This window comes from Homo sapiens, chromosome 22 (assembly GCF_000001405.40).
Source record: "Homo sapiens chromosome 22, GRCh38.p14 Primary Assembly".
Classification (NCBI taxonomy): Eukaryota; Metazoa; Chordata; class Mammalia; order Primates; family Hominidae; genus Homo; species Homo sapiens.
The window spans coordinates 30,521,167-30,547,613 of record NC_000022.11 but is presented as its reverse complement, the minus strand read 5'-3'; the positions used below and the strand labels follow the sequence as shown (position 1 = coordinate 30,547,613).

At 50.6% G+C, this 26,447-nt stretch overlaps 1 protein-coding gene and 1 pseudogene across 13 annotated transcripts, besides 1 other annotated feature; one reads left to right on the top strand and one right to left on the bottom strand.

Moving 5' to 3' along the window:
- Positions 1-872: 872 nt before the first annotated feature.
- Positions 873-24,815, top strand: SEC14L6 (SEC14 like lipid binding 6). 13 transcript variants are annotated; one of them, XM_011530357.3, is made up of 13 exons: positions 4,960-5,458; positions 8,712-8,787; positions 13,342-13,465; positions 13,575-13,618; positions 14,758-14,817; positions 14,901-15,089; positions 15,616-15,711; positions 18,265-18,325; positions 18,444-18,527; positions 21,682-21,788; positions 21,864-22,003; positions 22,095-22,264; positions 22,505-24,815. In XM_011530357.3, the coding sequence occupies exons 2-13, from the start codon at positions 8,731-8,733 to the stop codon at positions 22,615-22,617; spliced, it is 1,245 nt and encodes a 414-aa protein (XP_011528659.1). In that variant the 5' UTR covers positions 4,960-5,458; positions 8,712-8,730; the 3' UTR covers positions 22,618-24,815. The 13 variants fall into 13 exon arrangements, with proteins under 13 accessions (NP_001180265.2, XP_016884422.1, XP_047297439.1 ...); NM_001193336.4 differs by lacking the exons at positions 4,960-5,458; positions 13,342-13,465 and adding an exon at positions 873-985; XM_047441482.1 differs by lacking the exon at positions 22,095-22,264 and having other exon boundaries at positions 4,960-5,148; positions 14,901-15,434.
- SIRPAP1 (signal regulatory protein alpha pseudogene 1) lies at positions 2,679-5,399 on the bottom strand (annotated as a pseudogene).
- Positions 4,018-5,010: an enhancer, noted in NCBI's record as "H3K4me1 hESC enhancer chr22:30938591-30939583 (GRCh37/hg19 assembly coordinates)". NCBI's record gives its function as "activates a minimal SCP1, AML or CMV promoter by ChIP-STARR-seq in naive H9 embryonic stem cells {active_cell/tissue: H9 hESC(naive)}" and the evidence as "EXISTENCE:reporter gene assay evidence [ECO:0000049][PMID:30033119]".
- Positions 24,816-26,447: the final 1,632 nt, after the last annotated feature.

Below are 26,447 nucleotides of genomic sequence, written 5' to 3'. Positions count from 1 at the left end.
GCAAGGAAACGCTGATGGGCAGGTTCCCTGCTGTCTCCCAGAAGTCCCCACTGGGATTGAGCTCTTCTGTACTTCCTTGATAACCAGGCCTATACAGCTGCCTTCCGTTCTCTGTCTCATTTCCACACTTCCCTACTTGTGTTTCTCAGGACACCTCCCTAATAAACTTGCCCTGAACTCCTTGTTTCAGGGCAACCCAGACTACTACAAATAACTACTGTGTTCCAGGCCCCGTGCACACCGCGTGATCTCATGTGTCCTCACCTTGGGCTCTGGCTTTCTGCTTGTCCAGTGGGTGGTGGGGGCAGATGTAGCCAGGAGTCCCTCCTCACCTCTCATCCTGGCTCCCAGGCCAAGTGTGGCCCAGCTCAGGATTGCAAATCCACCTGTTTGGGTCTGGGCCTGGGAAGTTTCATCCTCAACCCTGAAGCCATGTGCCTTAACATCTGGGATGAATCATGGGCAGTTGCTCTGGACATGTCAGGTGGTAGATGAAGCCTGGGATGAGAGTGAAGGCATGATGACAGTGACTTCCGGGCCTCTGTTGGGGGTGAGAGATGACTTCTCCTGGCTCAAAGAGGCATCCGATGGGACCACAGGAGTAGAGGGTAGGGGACTGAGAGGCAGGGTGAACAGCCGCCTCCGTGTGTGTGTGAAATCAGGTGGTGTCAATTTCAACATGTCATCAACGCTCCGAGGAAACATCGCTGTCCTAATTTTGCAAGTGAGGATGTGAACCCAGGGCAGGCTGAATCCAGGGCCCCATGCCTGAGGCACCTAGTAAGGAATGAGCCCCACCTGTTGCCCTGAGGCTCACAGGAAGTAGTGGGATTTCTGGGTGGTGATAAATGTGGGCATGGCTACCAGCTGGCAAAAGGCAGGCCACCTGGAGGGAGCCACAGAGTGGAGCCTGGACCCATTCATGGGCAGCATGAGTGGACAAGTGGGTGACCTGAGCCCATCGCAGGAGAAGTCGCTGGCCCAGGTGAGTGAAGGGAGAGACTCCTACACCAGCCTCAGTTTCTCCTTCTGCCACGGGGAAGGGCAGGACTCAAGGTCCCTGAGTTTCTTCTGAACTCTCCAGCTCTGGGTCTCTTCCCAACCCTGAGGGGCTTGGTAGCCAGAGGCTACACCAGCACTAACCAATAGAAATACCACGCCACCACAAACGCAAGCCACATAGGTCATTTGAAATTTTCTTTCTTCCTTTTTTTTTTTTTTTTTTTTTTTGAGACGGAGTTTCGCTCTTGTTGCCCAGGTTGGAGTACAACGGCACAATCTTGGCTCACTGCAACTTCTGCCTTCTGGGTTCAAGCAATTCTCCTGCCCTAGCCTCCGGAGTAGCTGGGATTACAGGCACCTGCTACCACGCCTGGCTAATTTTTGTATGTTAGTAGAGATGGGGTTTTAACCACGTTGGTCAGGCTGGTCTGGAATTCCTGATCTCAGGTGATCCACCCACCTTGGCCTCCCAGAGTGCTGGGATTACAGGCATGAGCCACCATGCCCGGCCTTTTTGAAATTTTCTAGTAGCTCCATTAAAGAACTAAAAAGAGGCTGGGCGCTGTGGCTCATGCCTGTAATCCCAACACTTTGGGAGGCTGAGGTGGATGGATCATTTGAGGTCAGGAGTTTGAGACCAGCCTGGGCAACAGGGTGAAACCCTGTGGCAGGAGAATCGTTTGAACCCAGGAGGTGGAGGTTGCAGTGGGCCAAGATTCTGCCACTGCACTCCAGCCTGGGAGACAGAGCAAGACTATGTCTCAAAAACAAAACAAAAACAAAAACAAAACAAAACAAAACAAAAAAAACCTAAAAAGAAACAATTGAAGTAAAGTTTAATGATGTATTAACTTCAATATATAATCTAATCAATATAAAAACAACTGGTCTGGTGCAGTAGCTCGGGCCTATAATCCCCGCACTTTGAGGCGGGAGGATCACTGGAGCCCAGGAGTTCTGGCAACATAGCAAGAACACATCTTTACAAAAAATTAAAAAATTAGCAACATAGGGAGACCCCATCTCTAAAAACAACAACAACAACAACAAATAGCTGGGTGTGGTGGCCCATGCCTGTAGTCCCAGCTACTCGGGAGGCTGAGGTGGGAGGATGGATTGAGCCTAGGAGGTCGAGACTGCGGTGAGCCAACATCGTGCCACTGCACTCCAGCCTGGGCAACAGAGCTAGACCCTGTTTCAAAAAAAAAAAAAATGAGTGTTTTGAGGGGATACTGAGTCTTTGGAATCCTGTGTATTTTACACTCACAGCAGACCTCAGTTCAAACTAGCCACATTTTAAGAATTTGTGGCTACCATATTGGACAGGGCTGGTGAAGGCTGCTGGCCTGCTGGGGAGGCTGCATTGGCAGGTCACGTCCTCAGCTATGAGCTGGAGGAGGCAGGAACAGGGTGCATTTTCGTCTCTAGCCTGGGAGGAGTCCCTTGAAGGTCCTTAGGGTCTTTCCTTCGTGGTCGCACACGGCAAGCTTGGGGTCCAGGAAGACTCACACGGTTCCATGAGCATGGAGGCAACGACGGGTCCTTGGAGGTCTCGATTCCTGCCATCATAGGGTTTTGCATGGGGTAGGTGGTGTATGCGGGGTGGGAGGTGCCGGGATGGGGTTCCCGGGGCAAAGAAGGGTGGCGACCGGGCGCTGGAGTGGACTTTCTTTTTTTCACGTTGTTGTTGTTTTAAGAAAAAAACAAAACAAAACACCACAGATCAAGTTTTCTAACACCTCAGTTTCAAGATTGCACGTTTCACATTTCTCAGTAATTTACAGGCACCCACAGCGAGATGTTGCTTAGTGCTAGCTGGAGGGGCAAGCTCAGGTCTAGAAGGGAGAGATGCGTCCGGGTGGAGCAACACAGTTGGGCCCCAGGGAGTCTTGGAGGGACCTGAGGAAGCGGAGGGTTTTGTCTCCAGTCCTTTGGGAGGGATCCTCTCCTCCTCCAGGACTCATGGCTCTTTAGCCTAGGGATGGGGGAGGCCAGGACTGTTGGCAGCAACCTCACCAGGTCTGGATATGGGTTCCAGAGTTTTTTTCCAGCTTTTCCATGGAAGTGGTAGTTTGATCTAAAGGGGAAATCTTCCCCACTCAAGCCCCAGTTGAGGGGTGGTGGTGGTGGTGGTGGAGGTCAGGGGAGGTGGGATTTTCTCCTCCCCACCCTGGAAGATCAGGCTTCGGAGCATCGGGGAGGTAGTCAAGGGTCTTCAAAACCCACATGGTGATGGACGGAGGCACAAGAGTTCTTGGACCCCAGGCAGTTCTGGCCGCTTCCCAGGTCGGTTCCCTGGCTGGTTTGGCAACGTCAGCCTCCAGGTGTGTGGCAATGTGGGGAGAGGGGGCCGTGGCTGCTGGAGAGCCAAGGAGGGGTGGGGAGAGAAGAGCCACCCTGGCCCCTGGGTCCCAGAGCCTGCACCGCCCCAGCCCTCCGGGAACTGGGCTGGCTGTGCTCATCATGGCGGCTCCTTGTGGGACAAGGAAGAGCATGGAGATGGGTGCTAGAGCAAACCACGGTCCCATTCACTTCCTCGGGACCTGGATGCTGGCATACTCTGAGAAGGACAGCTCGGGCTTGGGGGCCAGCTGCTTGGGGGTCCGGTTGAGGTGCACCATGTCCAGGTCAGCATAGGTGAGGGTGTCCTCCGACGCAGGCTGCAGGCTGGTCTGAATGCTGGCATACTCTGTGTGGTTGTTGGGCTCCGCGGCCCGGGGAGCAGGCTTCTTCCCCTTGGGCAGGTTCAGGTCCGCATATGTGATATCATTTGTGTCCTGGGTTATTTTTCTGGCATTCTTCTCGGGTTCATGCAACCTTGTAGAAGAAGTGGAGCCCTGGGCTTTCTTCTGTCTGATTCGGACGAGGTAGAGAGCCTCCATCAGTAGGGCCACCAGCAAGGTGCACACCACGCCCACCACAATATAGATGTTCTGTTCATTAGGTCCAGTGTTCTCAGCGGCGGTATTTGAGCTCTGCTCCTTCAGGTGGGCTGAGACCTTCAGGTCATGGCTTTTGCTGACCGCTGACTGCCCGTCATGCTCCACCTGGCAGGTGAGCTTCACATCATCCCTGTGGGCAGATACATTCACCAGGAGCCAGCTCATCCAGTTGTAGGTGCCATCCTTGTTCTCTGTAAGAGTTGAGGCCGTTTCTGTCCGGGACACATTGCCGTTCTCCAACCAGGTCAACTGTAGTCTCTGGGGGTAGAATTTCGTCACCTGGCAGGTGATATTCACCTGGTTCTCTGCCCTCATGGGCTGTTGAGTAACCTCCAAGGTGGGTGGAACTTGGATAGTCTCAGACAAGTTGGCAGTCCCACGAAAAGAGTCCCCCCGCAAGGTGACGTGGGCCACCTCGCAGATGACTTGAGAGTGAATGTCCCCGCGGGTCAGCACCACATTGGCTGTGCTGTGGATGCTGTAGGACACGCTCTCTCTTGCGGGGTCCACGTTGGTCTGGAAGTCTGAGAGCTGATTCCCATTTTTGAACCATTTCAGGCTGATGTCTCTGGGTGAGAAGCCATGAGACTCGCAGGTGAAGCTCACTGTGTGGTCAGGTGTGGCCCTCGCTGCGGGGCCCGATACCACGGGGGCAGAGGGTTTGGCACGCACAGACAGCTCAGTGCCTGCTCCAGACTTCAACTCCACGTCAGGGCTCCCTTTCTGGAACTTCACACAGTAGTAGGTGCCGGCATCTGCTGGGGTGATGTTACTGATGCAGATGGAAAAGTCCATGTTGGTTCTCTTTGTGAGATCTGAAACAGTTGTTACCCGGGGGAAGTGGCCTTCTTTTTGATGGTAGATTAATTTCCGGCCTGGTCCAGCTCCTCTGAACCGTTGGATGGGCCCCACAGGGTTCAGGGAGGTCACAGTGCACTGCAGAGCGGCCGACTCTCCAGCTGCAACTGATACAGACTTCTCAGGCTGAATCACCTGCAGCTCCTCCTCACCCGCCACTCCTGACCAGGCGCAGGACGCGGGGAGCAGCAGGCAGAGCAGCGGCCCGAGGCGGCCGGGGACCGGCCCGCGGGCTCCATGGGCCGCGGCTACGCCGCCCGCGAGGGCTGGAAGGCACTAGAAGCGCCGCCGGGGCTGCCCAGAGGCCGGGTCCCCGCTCCACTTTGCGCAAACTTGTTTTTCTGAGGTCAGCGCTGCGAGCTGGCTACATCGTCCTCTTAAGGTGGCCTGGGGAAGTTGCGGCCGACCTCCCCTCGCCTCCGGACTCCGGCCGCGCGGCTACTCCCGCTTCCCACTGGCGAGAGGCTGGAGGCGGCGAAGGAGTCGGGGAGTGGAGGCGCGGGGGTGGGGGGGTGTCTGCCTTTTAACCCTCCCCAAGAGGTCGTGCCTCTGAGCCCCAAAGCTGAAGGCCCCTCTTGGGGGTGGGTGCGGGCCGGAGGGGACCGATCCTTTCAGAGCCGTGCCGAGGTGAAGGAAAAGCTGGAGTGGACTTTCTGGTAGGGTCGCGAGACGGATGGGGAGGGTCGCGGTGTGGGCAGGGTGGGGCCCAGGTCCAGGCTGGGGACGGGGTCTGAGCCGGGCGTCCCCGCCCACCGGCCTGCCCTTTCGCGTCCTGCCCTTCGGTGCCAAGAACAGGCACAATTTCTCCTGTGCCTGTTCTTGGTTTTCTTCCTCAAGGTAGTGTGTGTAAAGCTGTGTGTTGGTAACTTGACCCATTTCCTTAGAAAATGGCTGAATGTGTTGCTGATGTATAGCAATACCAGATAATTTGTTTTTTGTCCATGAGAGTGAACAGGAAATTTATTTATTCATTTATTTGGAGACAGGGTCTCACTCTATCACCTAGGCTGGAGTGTAGTGGTGAGAACATGGCTGACTGCAGCCTCAAACTCCTGGGCTCAAGCAACCCTCCCACCTCAGCCTCCTGAGTAGCTGGGACTACAGGCACGCACACCACACCCAGCTAATTTTTAACTTTTTTTTTTTTCTTTTTTGAGATGGAGTCTGGCTCTGTCACCCAGGCTGGAGTGCAGTGATGTGATCTTGGCTCACTTCAGCCTCTGCCTACCAGGTTCAAATGACTCTCTGCCTCAGCGTCCTGAGTAGCTGGGATCACAGGCGTGTGCCACCATACCTGGCTAATCTTTGTATTTTTAGTAGAGACGGGGTTTTGCCATGTTGGCCAGACTAGTCTCGAACTCCTGGCCTCAAGTGATCCACCCACCTCGGCTTCCCAAAGTATTGGGATTACAGGCGTGAGCCACTCCTATCAGCCAGAACAGTTTTTATTTCTCTTTGATGAAAAGCAATTAAACACCATTCATACCTTAATAAAGCTGGGAGGGGAGTATGATTAAAATCTAGCTTAAGGATGATTGTGGCCTTTAGAAGTTGTGTTTCTTAGTATCCAAGAAGATGATTATAAAAATAAAATTAAAAAATAAATAAAAATTTTTTTAAAAGTTGTGTTTCTTGAATTGTATGAATCTTTTAAAAAGAAAACAAAGTATAAACAAAGCTAGGGGAAAAGTCTTACAAGTTGTTCAAGTGTGAATTCGCATCTGATTATATCCCCATAAAGCTGTTAGTTTTAATTAAAAAAAAGTTCAAGTAATTGAATTTTTTTTTTTTTTGAGATGTAGTCTCACCCTGTTGCCCAGGCTGGAGTGCAGTGGTGCAATCTCAGCTCACTGCAGCCTCCGCTCTCTGGGTTCAAGCAATTCTTGTGCCTCAGCCTCCTGAGTAGCTTTGATTACAGGCGCCTGCCACCACGCCCAGCTAATTTTTGTATTTTTAGTAGAGATGGGGTTTCACCGTGTTGGCAAGGCTGATCTCGAACTCCTGGCCTCAAGTGATCTGCCCGCCTTGGCCTCCCAAAGTTCTGGGATTACAGGTATGAGCCACTGCACCCAGCCAATTGATTTTTTTTTTTTTTTGAGACAGGGTCTTGATTTATTGCCCAGGCTGGAGTGCAGTGACATGATCTCAGCTCACTGCAATCTGTGCCTCCTGGGTTCAAGCGATTCTCCCACCACAGCCTCCCAAGTAGCTGGGACTACAGGCGTGCGCCACCACACCTGGCTAATTATTGTATTTTTTGTGGTAATGAGGTTTCACCTTGATGCCCAGGGTGGTCTCAAACTCCTGAGCTCAAGCAATCCACCTGCCTCGGCTGGCCAAAGTGCTGGGATTACAGGTGTGAGCCACCTCACCTGGCCAAGTAATTGATCTTAATGCCCATGAGTTCAAAATACAATACTCAAAAAAAAAAAAAAAAAAAAAAAGGAACAAAAAGGAGGGGCAGTGTTCTGCATCAGGAAAAGGACATTCTGCTTAGACCTGAGATAACCCTCTTAAAAGACAATTGAAGTCAGAAATTGAAATAAAAATTGCTCATGTTGGCTAAGAAGGCGCATCACCATTTCCAGCCTCAGTTTCCTCACTTAGCGAATTGGTATAATGGCAGTGTCATGTCAGGATTCATTTAAGGCTTAGCCCAAGGCCAAACCCTCTTTCATATTCCTTTAGACAAAGGTTATCAGTCCATTTTTGGTGGGGGGCCAAGGAAAGTCTTTTGAGGATCCATCTGGGGCCCAAAGAGAATAAGACCCAGAGAGAGGGGAGTGACTCAGGCAAGGCCACAGTGGGACCTGCTGACTCTTTGTCCGGTGCTCTTTTCCTTACCATATTCATCAGTGTTGGAGGCTGGCTTTAGCCTACAGTCAATGACATCCACCCAGGAGTGGCCTCTCAGCTCTCAGACCCTGCAGGGTGGGCCCAGGGCCAGCTGAACTGTCCTAACCAACTCCCAGGCCAGGTCAAGCCACCCCTCACTTGGGCGTGGCTGATGGGTGCCAAACCATGTCTTTACATTGAAGGCTTCTAAGTCACAGTCCATCATTTCAACCCTAACCTATCAGGTACACAGCTCAGCCCTGCTTAAGTGTGGGAGGGAACGGTCAAAGACAAAATTAAGACAAATTCAGTTTAAAGATCTCAATTATCTTTATTGCAATTCTAGAATCAGGCAACTGGCTCTGCCACTCACTGGCTGTGTGACACTAGGCAAGTTGCTCAACCTCTCTGAGCCTCAGACTCTGTGCACTTTATCCTCCCACCTGACCTGGCCTGAAGGCTTCCTAAGGATGAAGATCAGGGCACTAAAGAGGGCCCCTCCCTGCCCCCACATCCCTGAGTCAGGCTTGTAAAGCTTCTCTGTGTTTAATCCACATTTAATTCTCTCTGATGTTTAGTGTAGTAGGTTCTTTTTTTTTGAGACAAAGTCTCACTCTTGTCCCCCAGGCTGGAGTGCAATGGTGGGATCTCGGCTCACTGCAACCTCCGCCTCCTGGGTTTAAGCGATTCTCCTGCCTCAGCCTCCTGAGTAGCTGGGATTACAGGCACCTGCCACCACGCCCGGCTAATTTTTGTATTTTTAGTACAGACAGGGTTTCACCATGTTGGCCAGGCTGGTCTCAAACTCCTGACCTCAGGTGATCCTCCCACCTCTGCCTCCCAAAGTGCTGGGATTACAGGCGTGAGCCACCGCGCCTGGCCTGTAGTTGGTTCTTTATATCATCCCATTTTCAAGACGGAGGAAACAAACTGTTATGGCTTGACCCGGACCCTGATCCTCCCAGCCCGAGTGGGACCTCTTCACTCAGACATCCCCTTCCTCAAGGACAGTTGAGACCTGCAGGACCGAGGGTGGTTGGCCTCTGACCCAGGTCTCTCCCTGTCTGTCCTCAGTTCCGGGAGAACATCCAAGATGTGCTATCTGCGCTGCCCAATCCTGATGACTACTTCCTCCTGCGCTGGCTCCAAGGTAAGGATAGAGCGTGGGGCTGGGGTAGGGTCAATGGCATGAAAGAGGAGTGTATTTGGTATCTATTGAGTGTATCAAATTACTCCAAAACATAGCCATTTAAAACAACTGCAAACATTTATTATCTCTCGTGATTTCTGTGGCCAGGAATTATGGAAAGGCTTAGTGGGGTGTTTCTGACTCAGGGTCTCTCATGAGGTTGCAGTCAAGATACCCATCGGGGATGCAGTCATCTGAAGGTTTGATTGGGACAGGAGGATCTGCTTCCAAGGTGTCAAACATAGTTGGCAAGTCTGTGCTCGCTGTTGGCAGGAGGCTTCAGTTCTTCCTCACAGGGCCTGCTCAAGCATCCTCACAACATGGCAGTTGGCTTCCCGCCATAAGTGATCCCAGTGAGCAGGGAGGAAGTGGTGGTATCTTACAGTGAAGCTTTCTGAGTCACATTCCATCATTTCTTTTTTCTTTTCTTTCTTTCTTTTTTTTTTTTTTTTGTTGAGACGGAGTCCCACTCTGTTGCCCAGGCTGGAGTGCAGTGGCGTGATCTCGGCTCACTGCAACCTCCGCCTCTCAGATTCAAGCAATTCTTGTGCCTCAGCCTCCCGAGTAGTTAGGATTCATGTGCCACCATGCCCAGCTAATTTTTGTATTTTTAGCAGACAGGGTTTCCTCATGTTAGCCAGGCTGGTCTCAAACTCCCGACCTCAGATGATCCACCTGTCTTGGCCTCCCAAAGTGCTGGGATTACAGGCATGAGCCATCTCGTCTGGCCAAATTCCATCATTTCTACAGCAATCTATCAGGTACACAGCTCAGCCCTGCTCAGTGTGGGAGGGAACTGTCAAAGACAGAATAATGACACATTTGGTTTAAAGATTTCAATTATCTCTATTGGAATTCTAGAATCAGGCAACATTTCATGTTATGAGATAGAATAAGTGCTCCGATGAGTCAAGCAGAGGAGTTTGGCTTTATAGACAGAAAAGGGGCTGAAGAAAGCAGAAACAGAACAAAAGGCAGATCTATCATTTCAAAGCTACAGTACTTTTCTGGTAAGGCAAGGACAGGGATACAGAACAATAGAAAGATAACTGATTGGTTAACATCAGGTGACTTCAGGTTACTCTTTGCTGTAAGGCTAAAAACAGAGAGAACTTCATTAACATACCAGCTGAAGATTGTAATTGGCCTGTTAGGGAAATTAGGCTTGCTCGCTCGCTCTCTCTCAAACAAGGTCTCACTCTGAAGCCCAGGCTGACATCAGCTCACTGTAGCCTTGACCTCCTGGGCTCAAGCGATACTCCCACGTCAGCCTCCCTAGTAGCTGGGACTATAGGAGCTCGGCACCACGCCTGGCTAATTTTTGTGTATATTTTTTGCAGAGACAGGGTTTCGCCATGTTGCTCAGGCTGGTCTAGAACTCCTGGACTCCAGTAATCCACCTCCCTCAGCTTCCCAAAGTGCTGGGATTACAGGCATGAGCCACCGTGCCTGGCTAGGCTATCTCTCTTGATTTCTCAAGTCAGATAACAACTCAGTTTCAGTTTAGCGAGCATGGGTGACTCCATCTTGATTTTTGGTCTTGTCTGTTGGGACCTAGTGCTGGAGTTTAGTACAAAGCAATGGCCTCCTATGATTTTTGTTTAGCAGAGCAGGGAGTGAATACTAGGTGAGGATCACTGATGGTCATCTTGGAGGTGGCTAGTACAAGGAGTGGAAATACTTTCATATTTTGAGCACTTATTCTGTACCAGGCACTGGGTACAGCAGTTTTTATGTATTATTTCCTTTTTTTTTTTTTTTTTTTTGAGTCAGAGTCTCACTGTCACCCAGGCTGGAGTGCAGTGGCAGAATCTTGGCTCACTGTAACCTCCGCCTCCTGGGCTCAAGTGATTCTCCTGCCTCAGCCTCCTGAGTAGCTGGGTTTACAGGTGCCCGCCACCACAACTAGCTAATTTTTGTTTTTTAGTAGAGATGGGGTTTCACCATGTTAGCGAGGCTGGTCTCGAACTCCTGACCTCAAGTGATCCACCTGCCTCAGCCTCCCAAAGTGCTGGGATTACAGGTGTGAGCCACTGTGCCCGGCCATTTATCTATTATTTTCTTTCTTCTCTTTCCCTCCTCCTCCTCCTTGTTCAACCCAATTAGGTAGGTATTATTGTTAGCTTTGTTTTTGCATTGGAGGAAGCTGTGGCTTACAAAGGTTAAACCACTTGACCAAGGTCGCTATGCTAGCAGGTGACAAAGTCAGGTCAGTCTGACATTAGAGGCCAATTGCTTAACATCTTCTCATAAAAAGAGTTTGGGGACCAGGTTAGGGAAGAGGTTTGCTCTTGAGATAAATGTCAGAATCCCAGGAATCTGAATGCACAGACAGGATTCTCAGTGGCCCTGAAAATGTGGCTGCAACTCCTACACTTAAGACTCCTTCCCTGGGGGGTTCGTAGGGGGTGGGCGGTAGGGCTGGAGTCGGTTTCAGCTGCAGTAAGAAAACCACTATGAAACCATGTTGATCATCACACCTGCTCCTACTATTGCAGAGTACACAGGAATTCACATCCCTGAATGTTGAGCCCAGAATACTTAATCTGTGATGAATAGCCTTTGTAAAACCTGTGATGGCAACTTGCCTCTGAGCCTGGTGTGTACTTTATGTAACTTATGACAAGGCTGGGCTAGGGGTCTCACACCTGTAATCCCAACACTTTTGGAGGCCGAGGAAGGAGGATTGATTGAGTCCAGGAATTTGAGACCAGCCTGGGCAACATAGGGAGACCTCATCTCTACAAAAAAAATTTTAAAACTTAGCCAGACCTGGTGGCACACCTGTGGTTCCAGCCACTCAGGAGGCTGTGGGAGAATGACTTGAGCCCAGGAGTTTGAGACTAGCCTGGACAACATGGCAAAACCCCATCTCTACAAAAAAAAAAAAAAAAAAAAAACACAAAAAACTTAGCCAGGCGTGGTGTTGCCTGCCTGTGTTCCCAGCTACTGGGGAGGCTGAGGTAGGAGGATCACTTGAGCCTGGGAAGTTGAGGTTGCAGTAAGCTATGGTTGTGCCACTGCACTCCAGCCTGGGTGACAGAGCAAAACCTTGTCTCAAAAACAAATAAACAAACAAAAGCTATGACATAGTAGCCAACAGGGTTTCCTAGCTCATCTTTGCTCAGTACCATTTCTTCTAACTAGAATGTCTTTAAACTGCCACCAAATCAAAAAAGAGTCCCGATTGGAGTTCCAAAGACAGGCGTCTAGTCCCCGCTCTGCCTCTTACTAGCAGCATGAGACCTGGGGCCTATGGCCCCCTTCTGTTGGGCCCTCAGTTTCCTCATCTGTTTATAGGGAACAAGACTCTCTCCCCGCCACTGGCAGCTTTCATGGTTGTTATGATGCCCAGATGAAATCAATGTGAGAACTACTCCCCAAGGCCCTGGGGACCAAGTGAAACCACTTGGTTCTCACCAGCCAGAGGCTCTCAGCAGAAGTGCTGCTGCAAAGCCAGTGAGCCAATGGACCAGGCTGACTCTTAGAAAGCTGGGTGACAGCCCAGCTAAGGCTGGGCTCAGGGCAGAGGACTGCTTTGACAGCCTGCTGGGGCCGCTAGGACCTCACTCCCATTTGTTTATAACATCCACTGGGTGTTTTTCTGATTATGAAATCAGAGCCCATTTATCATGGAAAATCTGGAAGGTATAGAAAAAGAAAAACAAAATGATATTTCTATAAATCACCCATAATCTCACCATGGCCATTAGGCAAACTTATATATAATTTTTCTTTTCTTTTTTTTTTCTTTTTATAGGGACAGAGTCTCACTATGTTGCCTAGGCTGGTCTCGAACCCCTAGGCTCAAGCAATGTCACTGCAACCTCCACCTCCTGGGTTCAAGTGATTCTCCTGCCTCAGCCTCCCAAGTAGCTGGGATTACAGGTGCCCACCACCATGCCCAGCTAATTTTTGTACTTTTAGTACAGACGAGATTTCACTATGTTGTCCAGGCTGGTCTCGAACTCCTGACCTCAGGTGATCTGCCCACCTTGGCCTCCAAAAATGCTGGGATTATAGGCATGAGCCATAGTTCCCAGATGAGTTTGGTGATTTTTTTAAAGAGTATTAAGGGGGCTGGGCACAGTGGCTCACACCTTTAATCCCAGCATTCTGGGGGGTGAGGCAGGCGGATCATTTGAGGTAAGGAGTTCGAGACCAGCCTGACCAACATGGTGAAACCCCATCTCTACTAAAATACAAAAATTAGCCAGGCGTGGTGGTGGGTGCCTGTAATCTCAGCTACTCAGGAGACTGAGGCAGGAGAATCACTTGAACCCGGGAGGCAGAGGTTGCAGTGAGCCAAGATCATGCCACTGCACTCCAGCCTGGGTGACAGAGGGAGACTCCTTCTCAAAAAAAAAAAAAAATTTTTTTTAAGTAAAAATTAAAGAGTATTAAGGGCTCCTGAGGCCAAAATGTTTGTGATCTGCTGATTTAAACAATTCTCAGCCTTATGATTCTGACAGATTCTGAGGGTCTGCTGTCTCAATGACTTTTCTGGAACAACAGGAAAAGGGCCCCAAGGCCCACCAAGGGGCATGCCCAGGGAATCAAGGAGCCTGTGTCCAGTGTTCCTGGGTCTCCGGATATCTCAGCCATTGTGGCTCCCCAGGTCAAGAACAAGGCCCTCTGGGTAACAGGAGACAAAGCTGGCCTGGAGGGTGGGGCAGGGCCGTTGTCTCTCCAGAAGCCTGGAGTGAGCCTCTAGAATTCCACAACCATAACCCTGTCTCTTGTTGCAGCTCGGAGCTTTGACCTGCAGAAATCAGAGGACATGCTGAGGAAGGTGAGGTTGACACCTCCCCCTGCCTAGCCTGGTCCTGTTTCCTATCCCAAGTCTGAGGCACAAATTTATTCATTCATTCATCCATCCATTCATTCATTCATGGAACACCCATTCATTGAGACTGGAAGGTAAACCTGGCCTGGTGCTAGGCGCTGGGGAGACTGCCGTGATGGGAAGAGAGAAAAAGAAACCAGAGGAACAAAGAAGACAATTCCTGAGAATGGAAAGTACAATGAAGACAGCAAAACAGGGAAGGAGGGAAGAGAGGTCAGGGACATTTCAGCAGGGACATGAATGCCCAAAAGGAAGCAAGCATGTGAAGATCAGGGTGAAGAGCACAGCTCATGCAAAGGCCCTGAGGTGGGAATGAGCTGGTGTATTCTTTTTTTTTTTTTTTGAGACAGTCTTGCTCTGTCACCCAGGCTGGAGTATAATGACGTGATCTTAGCTCACTGCAACCTCCGCCTCCCAGGTTTAAGCAATTCTCCTGCCTCAGCCTCCCAAGTAGCTGGGATTACAGGCATGCACTACCACACCCAGCTAATTTTTGTATTTTTAGTAGAGACAGGGTTTCACCATGTTGGCCAGGCTGGTCTTGAACTCCTGACCTCGGGTGATCCACCCACCTTGGCCTCCCAAAATGCTGGGATTACAGGCGTGAGACATTGTGCCTGGCCTGAGCTGGTATATTCTAGGAGCACACGGAGATCGTGTTGGAGAGAGAAGGGGAAGTGATGAGGTTACAGGGTGGCCCCAACACATCAGCCAGGCTCTGCAGGCCTTGTAGGGGGGTATAGGTTTTTGCTTAAGGGCAACTGGAAGTCAGGAAGTAGAGTCTGACTCCCAGGGCAGCCATGCGGGAGGGGGCATGGGAAACATCTGGAAGGATGCAGGGGGAGACAGCTGCAGAGTGCAGGCCTCCCCTGTCCCTTTCTAGGTCTCTCCTGGCCTCTCAGATGCATGTCCCCTTCCATCCCCATCCTGTTTCCATCCCCCAGTTCTATGTCAGTGGAGCCTGGGGATGCTCTGGCAGGCCCTTAGTGGTTGCAGGCAGAGGGACCTGGCCTGGTGTCCCCAGGTATCCACAGAGGTCTTTGGGACAGGCAGAATCTTCACCACCTCCTGCCGTGTCTCTGCAGCATATGGAGTTCCGGAAGCAACAAGACCTGGCCAACATCCTTGCCTGGCAGCCCCCAGAGGTGAGCATCTCTCAAACCCATACCCTGATCCCTGGGCCCTCAGCCCTCGGCACTGAACCCCCGTCTCCTGTGTATGCATCCAGGTGGTCAGGCTGTACAACGCTAACGGCATATGCGGCCACGACGGTGAGGGCAGCCCTGTCTGGTACCACATTGTGGGAAGCCTGGACCCCAAAGGCCTCTTGCTCTCAGCCTCCAAACAGGAGTTGCTCAGGGACAGCTTCCGGAGCTGCGAGCTGCTCCTGCGGGAGTGTGAGCTGCAGAGTCAGAAGGTGTGTGGGTGCCACCCTGGGCAGCTGCAGCCGGACACAGCACCCTCACCCCCTGAGCCTCACACCCAGAATCTGCCTTCCTGGGCTCCTGGGCTCCTCGGCTCCTCCTGGTACTGTGGAGTGAATGCAGGTTCAGAGAGGCCAAGGACCCACCCAAGGCCACACAGTATGTGGCTGAACTGGGAATCATTTCTCCCCCAATTGGCCCCAAAGCCCACTCAATCCACTGGGCCACACTGCCCTCTGCAGCCTCATTGGACGAGAGGGACAGGGATTTCAGCCCCACTGGACCGAAGAGGGAACTGCAACACAGCGATTTGGCCTCCCATGGACAGACACAAAGAGGTCGGTCCTTGGGTCACTCCGGTCCTGGCATCCTGTGGGATGGCCCCTTCCCTCCCCCATCTCTGTGCCATGCAGAGCTGAGACAAGCCAGGCCAGTGCCCTGGGCTTAGGCCCAGCCCCATCTTGGATGGGTGGGGGCAGTGGCCCTCACAGGGTCTCACCCCCTGTCATTCCCTTGCAGCTGGGGAAGAGGGTGGAGAAAATCATAGCTATTTTTGGTCTCGAAGGGCTGGGCCTGAGGGATCTGTGGAAGCCAGGAATAGAGCTTCTCCAGGAGGTGAGGTGACCCCGCCAGGGGCATGGGTGGGTGGTCAAATGCCTGGGTCTTTACCCTCCACTTGCTGGTGTGGGGCAGGGGCGGGAATCCTCTCTCCTCACTGCCAGGTGAGTACCCGCCCACAGGTACTGCCCACAAGAGCTGCACAGGCCATGTTTGCAGCTCTTACTTTTTTTTTGAAATGGAGTTTCGCTCTTGTTGCCCAGACTAGAGTGCAATGGCGTGATCTCGGCTCACTACAACCTTCACCTCCCGGGTTCAAGCAATTCTTCTGCCTCAGCCTCCCGAGTAGCTGCGATTGCAGACATGCGCCACCATGCCTGGCTAATTTTGTATTTTTAGTAGAGATGGGGTTTCTCCATGTTGATCAGGCTGGTCTCGAACTCCCAACCTCAGGTGATCTGCCCGCCTTGGCCTCCCAAAGTGCTGGGATTACAGGCGTGAGCCACTGTGCCTGGCCCGTTTTTTTTTTCTTTTCTTTTCTTTTCTTTTTTTTGAGACAGAGTCTTGCTCTGTCACCCAGGTTGGAGTCAAGTGGTGTGATCTCGGCTCACTGCAAACTCCACCTGCCAGGTTCAAGCAACTCTCCTGCCTCAGCCTTCGGAGTAGCTGGGATTAAGGCGCCTGCCACCACGCCCGGCTAATTTTTGTATTTTTAGTAGAGAGGGGGTTTCACCATGTTGGCCAGGTTGGTCCTGAACTCCTGACCTCAGGTGATCTGCCTGCCTTACCCTCCCAAAGTGCTGGGATTATAGGTGTGAACCGCCGCACCTGGCCTACAGTTCCTTACTTTTGTTGGCAGGGATATTTTCATACCCACAGCTTCTCGGGGCTGTGCTAAGTTGGGCGTGGCACCCCCAGGTCACCATCTCATGTTCAGCAGGTCACAACAGGGCCCGATTCCCTGACCTGCCAATGTCCCTGTGGATGTCCCTGTCCTCATATTCTGGCTCTGCTCACTCTCATCCCACCCCTGATCTCTGCCCTCACCCCCAATACCTGCCTACCCTTCTGCTTCCAGCCCCTGACCTTCCTTTTTGCCATTTCCTCTGGGAAGGGCTGAGAGTAGGTCATCTGGGAGTGCTGCAGTAGGAGGGAAGCTGTGGGGAGGCCTGGGCCGCAGGGCAGCCAGCCTACCTGTTCCTTTCTTTCTGTTTCACCCAGGACAGCAAAGAACTTAAACATAAAAAATGTTATTGGCCACCAGGCACAGTGGCTTATATCTGTAAAGCCAACATTTTGGGAGGCTGAGGCAGGAGGATCGCTTGAGCTCGGGAATTTAAGACCAGCCTGGTCTTGAACATAGCAAGACCCTATCTCTACAAAATAAGAGTATTCGCTGGGCGTAGTGGTGTGTGGGGGTGGTCTCAGCTACTTGGGAGGCTAAGGTGGGATGATCGTTTGAGCCCAGAAACTCGAGGTTGCAGTGAGTTGAGATCGCGCCACTGCACTCCAGCCTGGGATGTAAATTATATCTCAGTTTTTTTGTTTTCTTTTGTTTTTTGAGACGGAGTCTCACTCTGTTGCCCAGGCTAGAGTGCAGTGGCTCACTGCAGCCTCCGCCTAACGGGTTCAAGTGATGCTCCTGCCTCAGCCTCCCAAGTAGCTGGGATTACAGGTGCCCGCCACCACGCCCAACTAATTTTTGTATTTTTAGTAGGGAGGGGGTTTCACCATGTTGCCCTGCCTGGTCTCGAACTCGTGACCTCATGATCCTCCCACTTTGGCCTCCCAAAGTGCTTTGGGATTACAGGCGTGAGCCACCACGCCCGGACAATATCTCAGTTTTTTTAAAAAAAACCATTCCCTATTTGCAGTGTCTCTTATAAACAAATGTAATGGGGCCTATTGGGACTCATTTGTAGGAATCAAATATCCTTTCATACAGTGTAGACTTATTCTTGGCAAGAATGTTTTACTGTCTAACCAAGAATTTTAATTGGTTTATCTTATTTAAAATTTTAAAAGTAAGTAAATAAAAATAAAAAGCCATTCCTTGCAACTATGTATATTATGCTAAAAGAAAGTCTCTCTCATTCCTGAAGCTGAACTATTGTCTGACTCACGTGGGAGGGAACCTTCCACAGTCGTGAATGGGATTTTTCTTGCCTGTCATGAATAGAGTTATCCCCCCACTCATCTGTCAAGAATCGGCACTAGGCCAGGTGCGGTGGCTCACACCTGTAATCCCAGCACCTTGGGAGGCTGAGGTGGGAGGATCACTTGAGCCCAGGAGTTCAAGACCAGCCTGGGCAATATAGCAAGACCCCATCTCTAGAAAATAAAATAAGAAATAAAAATAATAATAAAAAGAATCTGCACTAGCTGCTTCAAGGAAGGTCTATGACTAGGATCCAACAAACCAGAAGTGGCAGCTTCTCTGTGTCTGGGTGGGTTCTTGGTGTCTGGGCATCGGGAGCCGTCTGCATCAAAGCCTTGGATGGTTGGCATTCGAGGCCAAGGCTGTGCCCTTGGGTCCTGGAGGGTGGGGCGAGAGGGGATGCAAGGGGACAGTGTTCAGACGCCCATCACTTCTGCCACTTGGTTCCGCAGTTTTTCTCAGCACTTGAAGCAAATTACCCTGAGATCTTGAAGAGTTTAATTGTTGTGAGAGGTGAGTAAAGCAGCCCAGGATATGCATGAGTTGGGGGGACAGGGGATGTGCGGTGACCGGGTGGGCACCTGAGACCCCAGCCAGCCGCCTGAGGGAGCAGTTCTGTGCCTGGTTTCAGCCCCCAAGCTATTCGCCGTAGCCTTCAACCTGGTCAAGTCTTACATGAGTGAAGAGACACGCAGGAAGGTGGTGATTCTCGGAGGTGAGTGAGCCCTCTGCGGCCTCTTTTCCAGCCTGGATCCTGAGCTGAGGGTGGTCCTTCTCACAGATCTGATGGTTCCTGCATCCGAAGGTGTAGGGCACCCAACTGGTGTTGAGGGCCCACTGCCTGGTGGGCTGCCAGGTGGGCTGCTGTGCCTGCCCCCGAGAGGGAAGACGGGCCAGGAAGGGTCTCAGAGATTCCTGGAGGTAGCATGGGTAGAGATCCCGATTTGAGGTTAGGAGAGCTGGATTTGAGAGTTGGCCTTGCCAGTTATTAGCTGCAAGCGGAGTGAGTCACTCAGCTGCTCTGTCTTGGTCTTGGTTTCCTCATCTGTTTAATGGGGGGAATTAGATCCGGATCTTTGGCGGCACACAGTGGCTCATGCCTGTAATCCCAGCACTTTGGGAGGCCGAGACAGGAAGATTGCTTGAGCTCAGGAGTTGGAGACTAGCTTGGGAAACATAATGAGACCCTGTCTCTACAATAAATAAATAAATTAGCCAGGCATGGTGGTGCACACCTATAGTCCCAGCTACTCTGGAAGCTGATGTGGGAGGATTACTGGAGTCCAGGAGGTTGAGGCAACAGTGAGCTGAGAACACGCCACTAAACTCCAGCTTGAGTGACAGAGTGCGACCCTATCTCAAAAAAAAAAAAAAAAAAAGAGGCCGAGCGCGGTGGTTCACGCCTCTAATCCCAGCACTTTGGGAGGCCGAGGTGGGTGGATCACGAGGTCTGGAGTTCAAGACCAGCCTGGACAATATGGTGAAACCCCGTCTCTACTAAAAATAAAAAAAATTAGCCGGGCGTGGTGGCAGGAGCCTGTAATCCCAGCTACTCGGGAGGCTGAGGCAGGGAACTGCTTGAACCCGGGAAGCGGAGGTTGCAGTGAGCTGAGATCGCGCCAGTGCACTCCAGCCTGGGTGACAGAGCTAGACTTTGTCTCAAAAAAAAAAAAAAAAAAAAAGAAATCTAGGTTTTCCAAATTATATAAGCAATACAGTTTAGAAATTTGTAAAGTACAGAAATGTATAAGGAAGGGGGGAATATCCTGTCACCCAGCGAACTACAATTAACACTATCTTTTTCAGAGAAATATATTTTCCAAAAAAAAATGGGTTCATACCATACATATACCCTTTTGTAACTACTTATCATATGATAATCATTTTCCCATTTTAGTAAAGTCCTAAATTCAGGTTGTTTGTATTATTTTTATTATTAGGAACAAATGAGTAGTGACGATCCTTATAGATAACCTTTGTACACATCCACAGTTTTTTCCATAGGATAAAATCCTAGAAATGGGAGATTTTTATCCCCCAAAGGAAAATGCATGTTAGGACTTTTTTTTTTTTTTTTTTTTTTTTTTGAGACAAGGTCTCACTCTGCCACCCAGGCTGGAGTACAGTGACATGATCTTGGCTCACTGCAGCCTCGACCTCCAGGGCTCAAGCAGTCCTCTCACTTCAGCCTCCCAAGTAGCTGTGACTACAGGCATGACCACACCTGGTTACATGTTAGGACTTTTGATAACTTTTTCAGTGTAGCGCTCACACAGATTGCAGAGTTTAACTCCACCAACTGTGTGTGAATGTGCCCATTTTCCCACACTCTTGCCAAGGTTGGACATCAATAATTAAAAATATTCTTGCCTTTTTTATAATGGAAAATGATGTTTATTATTATTTTACATTGGGTTATTTGGTTCTTTTATTACTCGTGAGGTTGGACATTTTCTTTATAATTGACTATTTTAATTTGTTGTTTATTGCCTTCTTGTGTCTCATGACCATTTTCTAGGAAAGTATTTTTTATGCCATTAATTTATAAATACTCTTTGCATATTAAACACCTTGTCCTTTCCTGCTATGGAGGCTGACAACATGGGAGGATCACGTAAGTCCATATATATAGATATGTGTGTGTATATATATGTATATATTTGAGATATATACTTATATATATGAAATATATATATTTATTTCAGAGATAAGGTCTCTCTGTGTTTCCCAGGCTGCAGCGCAGTGGCATGATCATAGCTCACTCTAGCCTCAACCTCCTGGGCTCTAGCGATCCTCCTGCCTCAGCCTCCTGAGTAGCTGGCACTATAGATGCACACTACCACACGTGGCACATTTATTGTTATTTTTTGTAGAGTCATGTCTTTACTATGTTACCCAGACTAGTCTCAAACTCTTAGCCTCAAGCAGTCCTCCTGCCTGGGCCTCCTGAAGTGCTGGAATTACAGGCGTGAGCCACCATGTCTGGCCCTTTCCTGTCATATTTGTGGCATTTTGGCCAGTTCATAGTTTGCCTATTATCTAATTTTTGACTTAGTGTTATTTATTTATTTATGAGATGGGGTTTCACTCTGTTGCCCAGGCTGGAGTACAGGGTGTGGTCTCGGCTCACTGCAGCCTCTGCCTCCCGGGCTCAAGCAATTCTCCCTTCTCAGCCTTCCAAGTAGCTGGGACCACAGGAGTGCACCACCAGGCCCAGCCTAGTGTTTTGTTTTTATGCCAAATTAGGGGGCTTTTCCTTTGATTTTTCCACCGCTTTCATGCTTATACAGTCCTTCTCTCTCCGAGGGTACTGGGTGTCCACCTCTGCTTTCGTCTACTTTGTTCCTGCAATGCCCGTGTCCCTTTGTGGAACATCCTTGGCCATCTCAGAGCAGCTTGTGGGGAACTGACCCGAGCTTGGCCCTGCAATTCTGAGGGTGCTGGAGCCCTGGGAGCTGAGGGCAGTATCTGACCAGAAGGCTGAGTTCAGTCTCTAAGGGAAAGCGAAGACCGGGTCATAGCCTGCCTGACCTCAACCCCAGGCTCCAGGAGTTGCTGGTCCGAGTTCCTATGAACGTGGCCAATGGGCCAATACCTGGACAGATGTGGGGGCAGGGCCTGCAGGGGCAGTAAGAGAGGGGCAGGCCTGGGACAGGACCTAGTCAACACAGCACATGCTGAGCCCCAGGACAAGACCTAGGGCCACTTGGCTTCCCTCTTCTGGGACAGGACTGCTCTAGGCAATGGAGTGGCAAAAGCGCGCCAGGGAGGGAGAGCAGCTGGCCAAAGGACAGACCTGGGCTCAGCCCCCTCTGCCCTCTGTTGAGTCTCCTGAGTCCCTTTGGAGTCCCTCTCTTGCTCCCATGCAGACAACTGGAAGCAGGAGCTGACAAAATTCATCAGCCCCGACCAGCTGCCCGTGGAGTTTGGGGGGACCATGACTGACCCCGATGGCAACCCCAAGTGCCTGACCAAGGTACAGGGTGCCCAGAGGATGGGGAAGGAGGGGAGAAGCTGTGACCTAGTGCCCACACACCCCCTTCACCCACAGATCAACTACGGGGGTGAGGTGCCCAAGAGCTACTACCTGTGCAAGCAGGTGAGGCTGCAGTATGAGCACACGAGGTCCGTGGGCCGCGGCTCCTCCCTGCAGGTGGAGAACGAGATCCTGTTCCCGGGCTGTGTGCTCAGGTAGGGATGGCAGCCACTCTACACCTGGGCACATCTGGGAGGGGCCTGGAGCCCAGGCAGGGGGTCGCCAATGGGGCTCTATCCACTGCAGGTGGCAGTTTGCTTCAGATGGTGGGGACATTGGCTTTGGGGTTTTCCTGAAGACCAAGATGGGGGAGCGGCAGAGGGCTAGGGAGATGACAGAGGTGCTGCCCAGCCAGCGCTACAATGCCCACATGGTGCCTGAAGATGGGATTCTCACCTGCCTCCAGGCCGGCAGCTGTAAGAGTTGGCAGGGATGGCTCTACCTGGAGCTGGGGGCTAGGGGGAGGGTGCTACAATGTGCATCCAGGTCCTACCAGGTGAGGGCCCTTGGTTCTGGTGGGCACAGTGTGAGGCTGGCTCTGGGCTCTCAATTGTGGCAATGGTTCCCTGGTCTGGGTACCCACGCAGAGATTTACCACCATGGAAGTCAGAGTCCCAGGTGGGGCATCTTGTCTGAATGTCTGTCCCTCACTGCAGATGTCCTGAGGTTTTACAACACCTACAGCCTGGTTCATTCTAAACGCATCAGCTACACCGTGGAGGTACTGCTCCCAGACCAAACCTTCATGGAGAAGATGGAGAAATTCTAGGTGAACCTCATGGTCCCCACACCCTCCTCTTTGATCTCTGAATCCACAATGAGTTCACAGCCTTCCCTGGCCAGACCCTGTTCAACCTCTCAGGAACAGGGATTCTACAACAGCAGGTCACAGCCTATGCATCACAGCTGGCCCACTCCTCAGGAACGGCTGGGACAGTGTCCTAGTGGTGGCCCGATGGTCACAGCAAAGCAACACAGACACTCCATCCCCACTATGACCTGCTGTGACCTCAAGCTCAGCAAAAACCCCAGGCTTTTTTCTATCAACCAATACCAAGAAATAAGTTACTCTTCTAAAATATAGTATTAGGCCAGGCATGGTGGCTCATACCTGTAATCCCAGCACTTTGGGAAGCCAAGGCGGGCAGATCATTTGAGGTCAGGAGTTCGAGACCAGCCTGGCCAACATGGTGAAACCCTCATCTCAACTAAAAATACAAAAATTAGCCAGGTGTGATGGTGCCTGCTTGTAATTCCAGCTACTTGGGAGGCTGAGGCAGGAGAGTCGCCTGAACTTGGTAGGCAGAGGTTGCAGTGAGCCGAAATCATGCCACTGCACTCCAGTCTGGGTGACAGAGTGAGACTCTGTCTCAAAAAAATAAAATAAAATAGTATTAATAGGAAATTTGAAATATAGTATAGCTGACAGATCAGGAAATAATTACCATTGAAAAGATAGTTTATTACTCACAGTTCCCAAGAGGAGGGGCCGCTGTGCCATAGGGGGAAGAGGAGGGGTCCCCAGGGAGGCATCAGGGCCGAACATGACGCACATGAGACAGAAAAACTCTGGACAAAGCAACTTTACTTTTATGATGGTTTCTGCAGGAAGGAACTGGTGAGGCAGGGTAAGCAGGCTTGAGATTTGCTAGTTTGAATAATTTCAGCAGGCTCCGTGGAATAAGGGCTGTCACTAGCTGTCTGGTATCTTGCCCTGGGGTGATTACAGCAGGTGGATAGTGGCCTGGAGTGTGAGAATCTGATAAAGGAGGTAGTTGGAATATGGTTTATATCAGTTGGTTTGCATTCGAAAAGTGCATTTGTGGGCAAGTTGCTGTATCTCTAGGAGAGGCAGGCCCTCCAGGATTAGCAAAACCTCAGATGTTAAAGCATGCAGAAAATAAAAGACATGGTTCAAATAGTTCCCTAACAAGCAGTTGTGCAATGCTGCTCTGAATGGAAATCCAACCTCACAGTTTCCCATCTAGAAAGAATTTTAAACTCTCTATTCTGTCTTCCACATACACGTTCCCTCCCACTGTTATAGCATCTGAGAATCTGCTTGAGCTCTGGATCTTCATCCAATCTCCTGATTAAGATTTCAAACTGGCCAGGTGCAGTGGCTCACACCTGTAATCCCAGCACTTTGGGAGGCTGAGGCATGTGGATTGCTCGAGGCCAGGAGTTTGAGACCAGCCTGGACAACATGGCGAAACCCCGTCTCTACGAAACATACACAAATTAGTTGGGTGTGGTGGCGGCGAGTGCCTGCAGTCCCAGCTACTTGGGAGGCTGAGGTGGGAGAATCTGTGGAACCCAGGAGGCGGAGGTTGCAGTGAGTTGAGATTGCACCACTGCACTCCAGCCTGGGAAACAGAGCAAGACCCTGTCTTAAAAAAAAAAAATTCAGACTGAGCCTCACAGTGGGACACTAGGTCGGTGTCAGCCCACAGTCCTACTAGAGTGCTGTCCTGCGATCAGGCCTCTTTGGGTCTGGCTATGCTGTCAGCTGAGATTCTGCCCAGGATCCTGTCACTCACATGTTGTCCCAGCTTGTTCTCAATGTGGCAGCCCCAAATGACAGCCAAAGTTCTTCCCTAATTGCCTACTTTACAGGAATCCTGTCCAAAAATGGAAACACGGGCATTCAGCAGCCCTTGCTCTCCCTCAGCCCCTCCCCTGACAGCCACTGATCTGTTCTTCATCCCTACACTTTTGATTTTTTCCAGAGTGTCATATAAATGGAATCGTGCAATATTTAGCCTTTTGATTCTGGCTTTCTTTAGTCAGCATAATGCCTCTGAGATTCATTCACTTTGTTGCATGTGTTAATATTTAGTTGCTTTTCGTTGCTGAGTAATATACCACTGTATGGATGGACCACACTGTGTTTATCCCTTCCCCTGTTAAAGGCTGGTTGAGTCGCTTCCAGTTTGGGGGCGATTATGAATAAAGCTGTTGTAAGCATTCGTGTACAGGTTTTTTGTGATCCTAAATTTTCACTTCTCCAGGGTATCAATACCCAGGAGGAGAATTCCTGCTGGGACCTATGGGAAGGGTACATTTAATGTCACGGGAAACGGACAACGTGTTTTGCACAGAAGTTGCACCATTTTCCCAAAAGCAGCATGTAAGCATCCCAGTTGCTTCCCATCCTTGCCTGGTGCTGTTAGTTATCCTGATATTAACTATTCGAATAGGCCTGTGGTTAATGTGGTTTTTATTTATTTATTTATTTATTTTATTTTATTTTTTTGAGATGGAGTTTCACTCTTGTTGCCCAGGCTAGAGTGCAATGGCATGATCTTGGCTCACTGTAACCTCCACCTCCCGGGTTCAAACAATTCTCCTGCCTCAGCCTCCCAAGTAGCTGGGATTACAGGTGCACACCACCACACCGGCTAATTTTTGTATTTTTAATAGAGACAGGGTTTCACCATGTTGGCCAGGCTGAGCTTGAACTCCTGACCTCAGGGGATCCACCCACCTCAGCCTCCCAAAGTGCTGGGATTACAGGCATGAGCCACCATGCCCGGCCAATGTGGTTTTAATTTACATTGCTTCAATGACTAGTAGTGCTGAGCATCTTTTCATGAACATGAAAAAGGCATGGTCGGCTGGGCATAGTGGCTCACACCTGTAATTTCAGCTCTCTGGGAGGTTGAGGTGGGAGGATCACTTGAGCCCAGGAGTTCTCTGTCTCTGTAAAAAGAAAGAAAAAGGAAAGGAAAGGGGAAGGGGAAGAAGGGGAGAAAGGAAGAAGGAAGGAAAGGAAAGAAGGAAGGGAAAGAAAAGGAAGAAGAAGGAGGAGGAGGAGAAGAGGAAGAAAAAGAAGGAGGAGGAGGAGAGGGAGGGAGAGAGAGAGAGAAAGAAAGAGAGAAAGAAAGGAAAAGAAAAAGAAGGAAGGAAAGAAAGAAAAAGGAAAGAAAAGAGAAAGAAGGAAAGAAAGAAGGAAGGGAGGAAAGGAAGAAAGAAAGAAAAGAAAGAAAAAGAAAGAGAAAGAAAAAGAAAAGGCAGGCATGGTGTGTGAGATGAGACAGGCTCGAGTTCAAGTGCTGTTTCTAGCACTCACTGCCTGGCTTTGGCCAGTGATCAGACCTCTCTGAGCCTCCATCTCCTCATTGGCAAATGGGTGAGATAGCGTCTGCCTCATAGAGTGGTTGCTATAGGATAAAGGAGATTCCGCAGGCACCAGCAAGCCTCCAGGGGAAGGCAGCTGCTATTGGGAGCTGATAACTAGTGTTGGAGCCCACCAGGGAGCCACGCTGCACTGTCCCACAAGCTTTCTCCATGCATCTTGGTCCCATCTTCCTGTGCTTGTCCTGGCTGCCCTACAGGCCCCTGTTAGGTGCCCCCAGTTCTGATCTCCAGGTGCACTCTGGGCCTAATGCCCTCCCTGCATCTCCTCCCATCTGGCTGCCAGCTCCACCTGCAGTGTGGGCCAGCCCTGCCCCTGGTCTCTTGCATGTCGACCTCAGAGACTCCCTTATGCCTGCCCCAGAATTCAACCGTCCCACCTGCCCTGTTTCTGGACTTCTCTTAATTCACCTGATAGTTCCAAGGGTGCCTGCCTGCTCTTTCCAGGCCATGTAAGGCTGG

Bases quoted from the DNA above. Each gene is read 5' to 3' on its own strand.
- SEC14L6 (XM_047441482.1), top strand. From the start codon at position 8,731: ATGTGCTATCTGCGCTGCCCAATCCTGATGACTACTTCCTCCTGCGCT. The intron at 14,818-14,900 runs GTGAGCATCTCT...GTATGCATCCAG, and splicing joins TTGCCTGGCAGCCCCCAGAG to GTGGTCAGGCTGTACAACGC. The intron at 22,004-22,504 runs GTAGGGATGGCA...CCCTCACTGCAG, and splicing joins TTCCCGGGCTGTGTGCTCAG to ATGTCCTGAGGTTTTACAAC.